The sequence below is a fragment of the Homo sapiens genome, chromosome 6 (genome assembly GCF_000001405.40).
Source record: "Homo sapiens chromosome 6, GRCh38.p14 Primary Assembly".
NCBI classification, from domain to species: domain Eukaryota; kingdom Metazoa; phylum Chordata; class Mammalia; order Primates; family Hominidae; genus Homo; species Homo sapiens.
This window is the reverse complement of record NC_000006.12, coordinates 161,030,421-161,045,993: the sequence shown is the minus strand read 5'-3', so window position 1 is coordinate 161,045,993 and position 15,573 is coordinate 161,030,421. Positions and strand designations below refer to the sequence as shown.

The window sequence follows — 15,573 nt, the reverse complement described above, 5'->3', positions numbered from 1 at the left end:
GTATGTACAGATATTATTTAATATCGTGATAGTAGATAAGAACATCCAAGAAAAGTGTGCAGAAGAAAGGCAATGAAGACCTAGAATAGAATGTGTATTAACTATTATGTACACCCAAATAAATGATTTTGAGTCAAAGAAAACAAAAAATTGTGAAATAAAAAACAATCTTGTTGGCTCAGGCGTTGGGCTTTTTAAAATACTTTATAGAACTAATGTGGTGCATTATTGATAATGGCCACAGACTATCTGCATACAATTTATAATTGGAAAGTAATAGTTGAGAGTGAAAAAATATTACTTTTCTTATATAATTTATTCAAGTTCTTCTAATCTATGATTGAAAGGTCCTAAGTGAAAACTAAGGATTAAATGACTTTAATAGTCCCAGAAGACTGGCTACAAGCATTATTCCAAATCTGTGCTACACTTACCAGGGGCAAAACATGAAAATAATAACAGATGAAGCTTCTCACCCTAGACCTTTATTCCAACAATGAAAGCAATCTAAGAAAAAATGCCACAATCCCATTTTTCCACATAAACATAATCTCATTTCAGCAAGCCTGAAAAAGTAACTTTTATAGGTTAAATACAAATCTTGTTAAGTTTATCTCACAGCATACAAAACAGTCTATTACACAATTTTTTGAAATTTTGTGTTCAGATAAAGCAATGGTTTAATATTTGGACCTACATAGTAGGTTTAAGGAAAAGCAAATTGGGAAAGGAGCAAGATGGGACAGAGAAGCTTTTTGTTCCCCCCCACCCCAAAACAAAACCCAAGTTGGTTTTGGAAAAATATACACAAAATATAAATTCATACATCTTAGTTTAAATAATGACGCAATTCGAACTTAAAATAGACAAACTCGTGTCTAGCTACTGTGCAAAAAGGATATACCAATTACTCTACCTCAGCAGTAGCTACATTTTTAGAATAATATACTTGTGACAGAAGGAGAGGGTGATTTGGTTTGTATATTTGCCCCCTCCAAATCTCATGCTGAAATGTGACCCCCAGTGTTGGAAGTGGGGCCTGATGAGAGATGTCTGGGTCATGGGGGCAGATTCCTCATGGATGGCTTAGTGCCCTCCCCACGGGAACCAGCCAGTCCTCGCTCTATTAGTTCATGTGAGAGCTCTCTCTTGTTCCCTCTCTCTCCATGTGACATGCCTGCTTCCTCTTCACCTTCCACCATGAGTAAAAGCTTCTTGAGGCTTCACCAGAAGCTGAGTTGATATTGGTGCCACGCTTGTATAGCATACAGAACCATGAGCCAAATACACCTCTTTCTTTACACATTACCCAGTCTCAAGTATTCCTTTATAGCCAACGCAAAATGGACTGACACAGAGAGTAAATCCAAGAGTGCTTTCTGGCAACTGATGACCAGTTAGGCCTCTATAAAATCATAAGGGACTTATGACTTAAGGGAGATCTGAGAACAACACTAGGGTGTTGGGTGCGGGGGTAGTCTATAGACTTAGTCATTTCCCTGAGCATTTTTACATTTTGTCTTTACCCACTCTGACATGACTAAGGAACTTTTTAATAACAACCAAAAGCCTATTACTGATGGACAGGTGTGCTTGTTTTTTGGTTTCCTATTAATACTAAATTCCTTTGCAATTAACAAAAGTCAAATGGAAACAGAGCAGAATTCTGAAAAGGAAAATGAATAAAAAGTACAGGAGTTAGCTATATAGAATGTTTTATTTGGCAAGTTCTAATTACAGGACTACAAAAATAGTTCTTAATAACTTGATGAATGGGACACCTGATCTCCCAAGTGACTATAAATGAAATGGTGTGATTTTTGTAGCACAATTAAAGCAAACCTCTGGAACACTTTTTCCTTTGGCCAATCACCAATAATTCTGGTAAAATCAGAAGAACATAAAAATTTTTTTAAAAGAAAACTTTATAATGAAACTGAAAGGAACCAATGACAAGCAATATGGTTCATCTGACGGATATAAGACAAACAAATGAATTCCCACCATCTACAACTAAAAATGGCTCTTTAGAATATGTATTAATTGTATTTTTAATCAAACTCTTGCAATTTTTATGTTCTCCCATATACATATTGTCCAAATTTTAGAAACCAGCCTTATTTGAGCTCTCAAATGAGATGTAAACAGATGGATAATCTTTAAGTATGAGATGATCTTCAGAGTAATGATGAACTAGAATACCAGACAAGTCAGCAACCTGAAGGGACTTAGAGATCATCTAGCTCAAGCTTCTCAAATTTCAGTGTATGTTCGAAATCACTGCGTTCCTGCTAAAGTGCACGTATCTCTGACATGGCTACAATGGCTCCACATTTTGAGAAATTGCTTTATCCAGCTTCCATTTTCCAGGTAAGGGCTTCACAGACATTGTCATAATTTTCGTAACAACATGATGATGAAGATTATCACAGAACACAGATGGTTAGACACATGGTTAATGTCAGAACAGGGGTCCTAGCCCAAGTTGGTGCCACCACACCATCCTTGGACTTGTCAAAGGTGTTTGCAAGGCAGTACCAACTGACCAAGGAAAGGCTAAGACAGCGAGTACCACAAAAGATTACACAGGCTAACTAGTCTGTAAAGGCTTAAAGTAAAAGCAAGTACTTGATTTGGGGCCTCGAAGAATGGAAGCTTAAATAAGGGAAGTAAAGAAGGCAAGAGCATATCTGAAGCCAGCAAAGAAGAGACACAAGGGCAGCAAAGAAAAGAGTGTGGCTGAACACTGAGCCTGTATATGGAAGCCTGGAAACACAAACCAGGACCCTGAAAGTCAGGCTAAGTTTAGACTAAAGAGCTGAAATATGGATTTAAATCCACTCTGGTTGACACAAACATTTCACTAGCTATATAGATTGAATCTGATTTGTAACCATTTTACCAGCTCCATTTTACATCAGTATGATATTCTTTAAAAAGCAAACATTCTAATTTCACTACTGTTAGCAGATACACACATTTACACACACATATATATAGGCACACGCATGCATGCACACACACACACCTTGAGATATTTCCTAACAGGGATGTGTGTGTGTGTGTGTGTGTGTGTGTGTGTGTGCAAATTCTCATATAAATTGCAAAATATTTGCTCTACTTCTGTAACCCAGCTATGGCTGATGACCATCCCGCTATGGCAGTGCTAGAATAGAAATGCAAAATGAAGCTGACAATGATCGCCCAGCAATGCCCTGGAAAGGGTTTTGGCTTGGGTGTCTTTTAAATTCCTATTTCACCTACTTAAACTATGAGATAAACTGAATGTACTTCCTTCTGCTATATTAAAAAGAAAACAAACATTTAAGGAAAAAAATGGTTTGACTGTCTCTTAAACCAACCTTAAGAACAAACAGTTATATTTGACTAAATATTGTCCAAAACGTATCAAAATCTTAATTGCTATAAATTGGTAATGACTACCATTATCCAAAAGCATAATCTCAAATAACACCGCAGCTAGCTCCTGTGGTGTTAAACTTAACACTCACCACAGTATGAAATCAAGCCTGTTCACTGAGTTCACTCGAGTTTACCTGGTAGGTTACATCAACTGGGACGTCAGATAGCAGACTTTCAGGTAATGCAGAGCTAATCATCCTTACCCAACACTCAAACACAGTCTTTAGATAAAATGCCTTTTTTTAAACTATCATATAAATTAAGAAAGTTTTCCCAATAAGACAGGAATTTTCAGCTTTTGGTGAAGGCTGGGCCATGAGATGCAGCAGCCATTTTGTAGTACACAGCCTCTTCTCTCCACTGTTCAAACATACACTAACATCCTGCTGCTAAGAAGGGACTGTGTAGATATAATTCAAGTCCTTAGCCAGCTCATTTTTGTTTAATCAAAAGGGAGATTTTCTTGAGTGGGCCTGACTTAATCACATAAAAGCCCTTTAAAAGAAGGCCTGAAACTTGTGGTGGTGACACGCACCAGGAGGGTCAGCTACTCTGGAAGCTGAGGCGGGAGGATCACTTGAGTCCAGAGGTTCCGGGCCAGTCTGGGCAACATAGCGAGACCCCATCTCTAAAAAAAAAAAAAAGAAAAAAAAAAAAAGAAACAATAACTCAAGGCCTTTACCCTCCCTGAGAGCATCTGCCTGTCCATGGTTGGAGTCTGTCCACCTTCTGTCCGTCTGGTATCACAAGTAGCCCACACCTGAAGTGGAGATACCAGTTTCTGCTCGTCAACTCTCTATGTAACAGCCACACTGGTCTAAAAGGTCCAAGACAAGGCACTGGGCTTAAAGCCCTGCACAAGCTGTAGTGGGAGTGGCTGCACAGGGCAGCCCCACTTGAGGCCCAAGTGCACCTGGGGGCCATGTCCGAGGCATCAGGAAGATGATTTCCTGTGCTCCTGAAAGTCACCAGATCTAAAGCTGCTGCTGCAATGGCCGTGGTCCTCTCTGGAGCCTTAGCCGACAACAGGCTCCTGGCCCTACCCTTGCCCCCATACCAGCTGAGCCCCTAGAGGCAAGTCCTCCATGCGACAGCCCTGCAAATGGCCGTATCTCAGGGGTTCACTTCCTTGCTCCCTCACAGATGCCTGTGGGCTGAGGGTCCTGGGCCTCGGCAGGGTTAGGGGAAGGACCAGGGATGACTGGCAGCGTAGAGATGCCAGTAGCCTGCACTCCAGCCCCCAGGGGCTCCTGTTAAGAGATAGTTACCCACAGACAGGTGCTGGGAAGGCATCAGCGTGGTCAGCATTCATGGATTTGCCGATAGGTAGTCAGGTTGGGTCCTGAGAAAGTGAATCCTAGAGCTATATGTTCCTTGGGCAGGTGCTGGAGGTAGGGCTGGTCCTCCTGCTATTCCTTGGGCTGGAAGCCACCAGGCCCTCCTTCCAGGGCAGCAGTTCTAGCTCTGCTCCACCTTGGCCTTCTCCTACCCAAAGCCTTCTCCTACTCACACTCTGGACATGGCTGCTTCACCTTCTCCTCCAGGTGGCTCCCAGGCTTCTGATTAAGCCAGCCCGTGGAAGACAATCTCCCTTTCATTAACTCAACATCAACAGGTTAGGGAGGTTAACTGCACCTGCAGAACCCACTGGCCAGCAGCATGCAGAACAGTGTTTGATCAATGGGGAGAAAGTGGGTGGACCTCACAGGAGTCACTGCCTCCCTTCTATCCCTATTTGCACAAAGATAATATCCTCTTACTGAACAAACTTGTTGACATTTATGACCTTTTAAAAAGTCTTTTCTGTAAAACCAGCAAATGTGGAGTTGGGGGACTATCTCTGTTCTTGGCTAGTGTGGAAGAGACCTTGTAGCCTTTGCACTAATTTTGAATTTGCTATGCATCTGATGGCTTTATCCTTTGAGTGCAACTCATGTCAGGATGAGCAGTTTTGTTAAATTCATGGTAAATGTTATCTAGGTCAATGCTTCTTAACCTTATTTGGGTCACAGACTACATTTGCGAATCTGATGAAAACCATGGACTCCTTACAAAAATGCACACATGCACATAATAAAATCTGCATTCAGTTTCCAGGGACCCACAATCCTCGTGATTGCAATATAAATAGGGCTTTGATAACTTTCTTTGATTCCTCACGTTTTCTAAATAGTTGCATTCAATTAAATACTGTGATTCAAGTGAGACATTTCTGAAGCTGTATATATCTGTGTGTGTGTAGGTTGCACACACACCATGTAAATGTCTATATATAGTACTTGTATGTAGCCTCATATTTCCAGTAAATTTCATACTGGCCTTATGCATTCAACCACAATCCCCAACTATATTCTCCTTAGTAAAGATAAATATAAAATGAGAAATAGGCAAATTTAAACAGCTAAACTGGCAGATTTTTATATTACTAATACAGAAAATACAAAGAAACGAGGTATTCATACATTGTTGGTAGGAGTATCAAAATGAACTGTCCTTTTGCAGAATGACACGCACAATATCTACCAAATTAAAACACACATACCATTCAATACAGCAATTCCACCACTAGGTATCTAATCTACAAAAATACTCCATATATGAGTAAAGATAAATGAACAGAGATGCTCCCCGCAATAGTATTTTTTGTTTGAAACTATGGAAACACACTATAGGGAACATGGTTATAATGATCCAAACAATACCTTACTTTAAATGTCCTTACACAGAACAATGGCCTCCACCTATTACTAAGTGGAAAAGAGCAGTTATATGTTGGATGTTCTAATTCAACTAACTTTGTAAAATTCCATAATGCTGTATTTATGGTGTGCATCTCTCTTATCTTTACAAAACTAAGAGCTTATTTACAGGCATTCTTCTTAGTACCAATGTTTTATCTCTAATTTCTCCTGTCTATAACTTCCCATTCTAACATGTCACTGGTAATGATTTGCAGGAAATTAGCACTATTATAATTCCATCAAATAATTTCAATGAGTCAATTGTCTAATCACACATATGCACCACAATTAGGGCTATCAATTTTCTCAAGATCTGAATTTACAATTATAAAAAACAAATACATGACAATAGTAGCTACTCTGAGCCTACAGAGGTAATAACATTGCAAGAATCATACCTGTATAATCAGTTCATGAGCATGGCTACCATAGCTAAAAAGCCAGTATTGCTGGTTCTTATCTCTTCCTCTAAATAGTCCCCTCAGTTACCTTTCTGAGTCCTTACATTCCTTCAGGGATGTACTTGATGTTTTTTTTTTTTTTTTTTTTTGCATTTTTGCGGGTTCGGGGCTAGGGGAAGCAAAGACAGTATGACTGACCAGATTCTAATTCCCCAAAGCTTTACAATGAATGCATGTAGCAGTTAACTTCCCAAAGTAACCTACAAACCCGACCTGGTACCGCTGCCTTGAGCAGTCGCCTCCCACAGTGAATTTGGGCCAGCCTCATGGAACTAAAAGAACACAACAGAAGTGACACTGCACAACCGCGGAAGCTAAGGCCTAAGAAGGCCTGCGATTTCCACCTCAGTCTCTCAAAACACTGGCTCTGAGGAAAGACAGCTGCCGTGTAAGAAGTCCAATTACCCAAGGACCACCCTGGGCTAGCCATGAGGAAGATCACATGGAAAGAAAACTGTGCCAGCAGCCCTCAGCTGTTCCTGCTCTCTCAGCCCAAGTGAACAGACACATATGTGAGTGAGGGAGCCATCGTGGATGTTTGACATCCAGCAGACACTATGCAGACAAAAAAAATGAGGGCTCAGACTTAGGGCCCCAGCCAAGCCAGGATGTTTCCAGCCAACTGAGCTATTCCAGCCAAGGCTCCAGACATCCTGGGACAGGGATGACCTGTACCCTGCCTACACACCTGAACCACAGAATCATGAGCAATAAAATAATTGCTCTTTCATGCCATTAAGTTTCACAGTGGTTTGTTACACAACAATAGATAATCTGAAAAATGCAAATGTTATTGGTGACTATTTAAAAGATGAGTCCAACTCTGACCGCAGTTCTAAAGTTAATAGTATGACTCAGAGATCCTTTGTCTGTTGCAGTGAGAAAGAAATAATGTAACAGTTCACATTTCCTTGGACAGCTTTTTAAATAAATCTGACCAATCTAATTAATTCTAAAAAGCTCCTCAAAATACTGAGGGGGCCAATATATTATTATGAGTCACATGCTAGTCTGAAATACTAGTCTTCCTGACTCAGCTTTGAGGTCACAGCACAAATGTCACTTGTTCCAGAAGTCTTCCCAAGCCCAGGTCTTCTCAATACTGCCTCCTGTGTGCATCCAGATGAGCCTGTACTGTTGGTCATTTGTGTACTCCCTACTTGACCTGGAACTAGGTCTTATTCATCTTCCAAAAGAGCACATGCCTATGGAGTCACTCAAATGCTGATTCAATGGAAAGAATGGAGGAGAAATAAGGAAAGAACAGAGGGAGGAAAGGAAAAAAGGAAGTGAGGAGAGAAAGCGTGAGAAAGGCAGAAGAAAGAAAAGAAAGGAAGAGGATGAAAGGAAGGATGGAAGGAAGGAAAGACAGGCAACAGCAACAGTAACAAAAAAAATGTACTAGCAGCATTATGTAGTGAGATAAAGCGAAGGACTAGGAAGACATACAAGGAAATGTGTAGTCCAGGCAGGACAGAAGCAGGAACAGTAGCTACACGACTTGAGACAATCATTTAATCTAAGACTCAGGGTCCTAAAAATGGGCACACCATTTAATAAGGATATGTCAACAATGTAATTATTTAATTTTGCTTTAAGATTTAAGTCAAGAAAAAAAGTAGTAAGTGTTGGGAAGAAATCCTGACTTTACAACCGGTCATGGTTGCTCGTGCCTATAATCCCAGCACTTTGGGAGACTGAGGCAGGTGGATCACCTGAGGTCAGCAGTTCGAGACCAGCCTGGCCAACATAGCGAAACATCGTCTCTACCAAAAATACAAAATTAGTCGGGCATGGTGGCGCATGCCTGTAGTCCTAGCTACTCGGGAGGGTGAGGCAGGAGAATTGCTTGAACCCAGGAGGCGGAGGTTGCAGTGAGCTGAGATCGCGCCACTGCACTCCAGCCTGGGCAACAAGAGTGAAACTCCGTCTCAGAAAAAATAAAAGAAATCCTGAGTTTACAATAATAATGATGATAACTAATACTGAATACATAATCCTAACAACACTATAAGGCAGATGATTTTACAGATAGAGAAACGAGATATGGAGGCTGCATACGCAGAAGATAGCGGAACCAGGACTGGAGTCCGGGTGATCAAGCAACCAAGATTCTGCTTTTGTCCACCATGCTGTGCTGCAATAGTCTGAGAACAAATAAATTCTCAAAGACTATTAACCACCACAACCAAGACTAAGACATTAAAATGGCCCACTTGTCTACCACTGGCGTCCCATTTCCACCTTGTCTTGGTATTCATAAACAAGAATGTCCGCAAGAAATAGTTCACCAGCTGGCATACATGTGAAGCCACTTTCTAATATACATGTGACTGAGACATTTAAAATTGAAAGCCGTAAAACTTCTCTGAGCCAGTTTCCTCAGCTGTAAAATAAGTACAGGTTTAAAGTCCTTTATCTGAAATGCTTGGGACCAGAAGTGTTTTGGATTTTGGAATATTTGCATTATACTTTCTGAGTAAGCACCACAAATCCAAAAATCTGAGGTTCAAAATGCTCCAATTAGCATTTCCTTGGAGCATCATGTCTGTATTCAAAAGGCCTCAGACTCTGGAGCATGTAGATTAGGGATACTCAAAATTTGTATTATATAAGACCAACACCTCACTGGGTTATTACATTATTCAAAAGATAATTCTTTTGAGGTGTTAAGCACAGTGATTAACCGATAGTAAGCACCCAGTAATTGCTAATGATAACTGTGAAGATGCTGCTACAAATGATATAGCAGCCATTTAAATTAAAAGTACAGGCTATTCTGTGACAAAAAAAGTTCATAAAACATTAAATTTAAGAAGCCATTATAAAATAGTAAAGATAGTACAGCATAAACATATATAGCAAAAAGCTAGAGAGTCTGTAGTCAGGCTTTTACAAATGGTAAAAGAAGCTACTTTTGTGTATTAGGTTTAATGGGTGATTTTTATTCTTTTGTCTGTATTTTCTGAATTTCCTGCAACAAACACATAATCTTTTGCAATAAGAAAAATAATAACTTATTAAGGATTTTGGTGTCCTGGGTCTGCTATCAGATAGCTATAAATCAAAGGGTCTGTGAGCATTAGCTTCTTCATCTGAAAAACGGCAAGAACTTGAGCAAATGATCTCTGAGGCTCCTTCTGGCTCTAAAATTCTATAATTTCATAAAATAAACAATTTTAAAAATTGTGGAAGAAAAGGGCCAATCCTTTCCTTTCCCTCTATCTCTCGCACAGACCAGCAGGACAACAGAACCTCAACAAACATCTAGTGACTGGCTGTCTCACTGATTAGTGAAAGACCATAAAGTCAACTCAAATATTGCCTTCGGATAAGCGTAAACACTGTTGCTTGTACTAGGAAAAAGTCCAAATAGAGTACCAGGAGAACTAGTGGTACAAATAGTCCTGACACTATCTCAAGCCTTCTGGACTTAAAAAGATTTGCTCTGAAGCCCTGGGCCTCAGTTTCTCAATCTATAAAATGGGGAAATTGTGTTCTCAACTCATGTTCTAAAATAGTATGAATCAACAAGAAAAAGCAAGTGTACTACCGGCATCTTCTTACTTTACTAACACGAAGCAAATATTTATTAACTAATGTTGATTCAGTAGATGCTACTTCACTGATTCCTACCATAGATAAGAAACTTCTATAGTCATTTGAGAAATTTCTTTGAGAAAATGTACAATAAATGATTTTCAAGATGACAAATTGCAGTGGGAAATTTCCAAAGGGGTAAGTACAGGCCACAGGTTAAAAAATTACAGCAAATCAAATTTTATAAGAAGTATCTTATGTGGAAAAATCATTTGTGGGAAAGACTCTTTCCTGCTTGGGAACTTCCCTTGTATAGCATCTCACTCAAGCAAATCAACACAACAAAACCCACTTCTCTTGCCCTCCTGCTCTCTTGAGGAAGGGCTCTGATGGGAATGCAAAGTGAAGATGCCACTAACAGCCATCAAAGCTCAATATATGGAAGAAATCTACAGAAAGAGGAAGCAGAACAAAGAGGAAGAATGAACACAGACTACAGAAAGGGAGAGGTAGAAATGAGTGTGAGGTCAACAGGAAGAAATTTCTCAGACAAGATGAAGACTAAAATCCGCATCTCATGCAGTAATAGCTGAATAAATTCCAGGAATATATGGCATTTGTTTTAGGACAAGTGGTTTGCTGAGATTAACAGGTAAATTCTAAAACCACAAGATTCCAGGCCATCACGTAGGGTACAAGGAGGCTGCAGCGCAGTATCGTTCAATTCATCTACCACAAAAAAAGAACAGTTACGTCCCACTAAAAGGAGGTTGGGGGGAAAGAAAAAGCACGAAACTCTCCGTGTCTAATAGAGCAATATGTGGACTTTACGATCCTAAATAAAGAGAAAAGTAGAAAGCAGGTTCTGTCATGGTTGTTAGGTGTGGGGTCACTGTGCTTAGTATGAAAAAGAGAGCCCTACACACTAAAGATAGCACCCCGGGGCACCAGCAGAGAGCAGAGGGAATCCAGGGGAAGACAGCCTGGCTCTGTCTCTCCTCAAATCCCCAATACACCACTTCTGGGCAGAGGAAATCTAGAAACTTCAGCCTAAGAGACTGAAAGAATAGAAGGCCATCTATCCCATGTAACCAGTTGCCATCTTGTATTAGTACACTGGGAAACATTTGCCCTCTTTCACTTCTTCAAATGCCCGTGCATTGCTGGCTTTAACCATTACTCAGGACAAACGTTTCTATCTCTGGAAAACTATGTGTCAATTTTATTAATACTAATGGTAATAATTCAAAAAAAAATTGAACTTTACAGGAGCATTAAAATCAAATTAAAAATAAAAGAAATTGCTAACTTTATTGTTGAAAGAATCAATCAAGTGCCATACCCTCTCATGTACACCTCTTTTCAAGTACAAGACTCACCTTTCAAATTAGACCGACTGGCTGGCCTCCCCACATTATTCCTCTGATGTTTGGTTGACATGCGTTTCATCTGTCGAGGTGTGCTGGGGGGAGAGGTACCATAAAGATTCTCTGTATTTGTTTCATCGGAGAAGTCTTCTAGATCAGATTCAGGACTCTTGCAAGCTGAATCTCCCAATGTGCCCTCTTGCCTATGAAAGACAGTGTGCAGGGAAAATATTCAGCAACACAGTTAAGTGAATTCAAATTTACTTATAATTTTTTAAATAATTCTTTGTAAAACTTTTGTACAGAAAAATCTCTTCAGCACTGTGCTCCTCCTCATTTTTACCTGTGAAAACTCAAAAGGAGAACTTTTCTTTTGCTTGAAGAGAGTAATAATTGTGACTGCCGCTTCTCCTACCATGAACAAGGAGTACCACATGGGTAGAGCTGTTATGCTTTCTGTTTCTCTTGTTTATAGAGCTCTTTCTAACACAAATGAAATATAGAACTAAAAACTTACGCCTTAAGGAAAAACCAGCGAAGGACTAGAAGATACAAATCAGACAGAACTAAAAATGTACTTATGTGCTAGCTGCTGACAGCTTAATTGATGAGTGGGCAAGTTCAGTCCTGCTCTGAACTTCAGTGCCTCGCCTCTTTCTGTCTTTGAAACACACAGAAAACAGAATGTATAGGAGCACTTTGCTATGATCCACACAGCAAAGCACGAAGTACCAAGAAAGTATGGCAGGTCCATTTCCTAAGTTGTCTGATAAAAATTACAGTGCAGACATTATGTATGTATTTAATACCACTGAACCACTTGAAAATGATTAAAACATTAAATTTTATCTTATGTGTATTTTAACACAATAAAAAATTGGGAAGAAAAAAACCACAGTGCAGAACTCAAGGTGCAGGGGAGAAGGATGATGTAAAAGAGGAAAAACAAAATTGTTTCTTTTCACCTTCAAAATGCAATTTCTCATTAATTTGTTCTCTAAAAACACTGCCTGCCAATTCTCTATCCCTGGCCAACTTCTCAAATAATATCACTATTTTGACAAAGTTCAATTTCTCAAAGCTAACAAAATAAAATTTAATGATACAAATTGAGAGCAAATACAATTCTTAAAAAGTGAAACAGAAGGAATCAATCATGAAATTCTTTCCAAATATGTACCATCACAGTCTACCTCTTTCTGAACATTTATAAAATATGCTTTATATTTATATAAATATGCTTTATATTTTATAAACATAACTCCAAATTATATCCAGTATATAATCCATTTCTTCCTGGCAATTCATATCTTGATATAAAATCAAAGCTATTTCAAAGTCATAAGGGAAACAGAAAAGCTACTCTACAATGTATGATCCCATTATTACTGAATTAGATTGACAAAACTGCAGAAAATAAATTACCTTTTGAAAAATAAAAATATTGCAGAATTATAAAAATTTACAGTACTGAAATCTACAAAAGATCCCTAATAGGTCAAAAACTGATTTTTTAATAACTGCATTTTAAAGACCACTCTAAATACTTTATGAGAGTACACATGTGCTCCTAAACATATGTGTACACACAAGACATGCGAGTTAAATGCCCTGAAAGCTAACTTCAAACCATGTGCAAATTTAGAAATACGTTTTAAATGCACCTATTTCCTTAAACTACATTATTTAAGTCTCATAACATCACACAATAAAGTGTAATCTTACAGATTAACTTGAAATTTCTTACACCCACTTCTTCTATACTCACTGTGTAATAGTTGATTTGACTGATTAAAGAACATGGCTATAAGCACCAAAATCATTTATTTATTTTCCATGTGTTGCAGTGGTTAATAACACTGTTTGGAATGAAAAGCAGCATAGCCTTGGTGGTGTAGTAGACCCACGTTTAAATCCTAGCTGTACTGCCTATTAGCTGGGTGGACCTTGGACAAATTTTCTCTCTGTGTACATTTACAAAATAAGGATAATAAATACTTAGACTTATAAATACTTATTCCTATGAGGATTAAACCCAATAATGTACACTTAACAAAAGAGTCAGAATATAGTAAGTGTTCACTAAATGCTTGATACCATTCATATCACAGGCCTTGGGAGGTCACTGTGCTCAGTGAGGGAACCTGAGTTCTTGCTCATCTATCTGCTTCACCTTAAGAGAGAAGCTCACCTAGGAGTTGAGCATGGTGTAGGCCTGGAAGCACTTTTAACATCTGAAACATCTGCTGAATTCTTTCGAACTCAATATTATAAGGTTTCTGTTTTCATTTAATTTCCACACTTAATATACTTAAAGGAAACACTAAGAAAAGACTATATTTTATTACTTTTGAATCTCCAGGACTGTCCAGCATAGGGCTCTCATTCAGTGCTTTTCATAATAATGCACTTAACACATAAGAATGGTAACTGCCAGGAAACTATAGCATAAATGTTTAGTCAGTTAAATACATCAAAGCCAGACAGCAGTGAATAACAGGATAATTAGAAAAATGAAGTCAGATACGAAATAGCAAACAAAATCTCTTTCAAAACACATCCTTTGTGGTGAGGAGGAATGTGAACTCAGAAGCTAAGGCCATGTCTCAGCCGTCCTGGTGGGTGAAGCATCCATTATTGAATCTTTCTAAGACTATTAAGACTAATAATCTGGAATTTTAAAGGTCTACATTCTAACCATTTCAGGAAATTCAGTTGTAAAGGTGTTTTTAAAATTAAAGTAATGGAAACAAAGGGCTACGAAAAATATAAAATGGTCTGTTTTGCTAGTATCTAGCAGTACTGTGTGGATGATGAATTAATGCAATGCAGAGTGAAAGTGGAGGAGAATTGTTGTGAGGAGGGACTGATAATATCAAACCTCAGTGATCCAAATATCAAGCCCCCCGACCTGAGGAGCGTCACGATCTAAAAAGACAAGCACAGCTGATTTTTTAAAAATAAATAAAGAAGTACCTTTGTGGGATCTACATGCCATGGGAATTGAGTCCTGTGCTTTAGCAGATAAAGAGGGTCTAAGAAAGTACATATAATAAAAAGGCTAACTTTTATGAAGACTTTACATTGGGGACCCAGAAGAATATTTGTGTTGTGCTAACCTCCAACTGTAGACAAATTATTTCTCTACACATGGAAAAATTAATGTGGCTGTACTGTCAAATAAAAGTACAAGAATAAATCCTTGTAATAATTCTATAGAAGCTAACAGTCCCTTGTTTTCCGATCTGCATTTATTACAAAACCAAAAGTCATCTGTCTTATCCTTATACATTCACATAGACACAATGAACAACTACTGACTTCAAAGTATTTCTAAATTATCTAATTATTCTAGCAGTAAACATTTAAAAATCACACTGAAACGAAGATGAATACTGTCATAAACAAAATATTAAAATAAGACAAAACACAGTATATTTTATCCTTCCTTACCCATTAAGCATCACAGAAAACGAGTTAGGAAAATGTCATATGGTACTACCAGCCACTATACTTATAATTCGTAATTAAAATGAATTTAATATTTTCTTAGGATTTACTTAATGCAGTCAACATGGTATTCTCACTTGTTGGAAAAGATACTGGTTTACATTCCATCCAAGCAACTTAGTAACACCTACATGTCAGAACAAAATCCAACAGTATTTAAAGAAACTTTCTTTTAAAAAGAGTCTAGCACCTAATAAATAACATTCACAACGTTTTCCATCCTATCAAAAAATTACCAGCCAAGTGCAATGGCTCATGTCTGTAATCCCAGCACCTGGGGAGGCTGAGGTGGGCAAATTGCTTGTGCTCAGGAGTTTGAGACCAGCCTGGACAACATGGCAAAACCCCATCTCTACAAAAAATACAAAAAATTAACCAGGTGTGGTGGCATGCACCTGTGGTCCCAGCTACTCAAGGAGACGGAGGCGAGAGGATCACTTGAGCTGGCACCACTGCACTCCAGCCTGGGTGACAAAGCAAGACCCTGTCTCAATCAAACAAACAAACAAACAAACAAAAATACCAAAGAAA

At 38.7% G+C, this 15,573-nt stretch overlaps 1 protein-coding gene across 7 annotated transcripts in view, besides 2 other annotated features; it reads right to left on the bottom strand.

Moving 5' to 3' along the window:
• MAP3K4 (mitogen-activated protein kinase kinase kinase 4) overlaps nt 1-15,573 on the bottom strand; it is a 125,612-nt gene that overhangs the window by 71,387 nt on the left and 38,652 nt on the right. For all 7 annotated transcript variants that reach the window (NR_120425.2, NM_001291958.2, NM_005922.4 and 4 more), the window contains exon 2: nt 11,545-11,735. Coding sequence is in view for 5 of the 7 variants with exons in the window: in NM_005922.4 (NP_005913.3) it covers nt 11,545-11,735 (191 nt within the window). In the remaining 2 variants the exon portion in view is untranslated. The remainder of the gene's footprint in view (nt 1-11,544; nt 11,736-15,573) is intronic.
• Nucleotides 2,511-2,711: a silencer, noted in NCBI's record as "peak6300 fragment used in MPRA reporter construct". NCBI's record gives its function as "represses an SCP1 promoter by STARR-seq MPRAs in K562 erythroleukemia cells {active_cell/tissue: K562}" and the evidence as "EXISTENCE:reporter gene assay evidence [ECO:0000049][PMID:32103011]".
• Nucleotides 7,133-7,202: an enhancer, noted in NCBI's record as "active region_25410". NCBI's record gives its function as "activates an Ori minimal core promoter by ATAC-STARR-seq in GM12878 lymphoblastoid cells {active_cell/tissue: GM12878}" and the evidence as "EXISTENCE:reporter gene assay evidence [ECO:0000049][PMID:35858748]".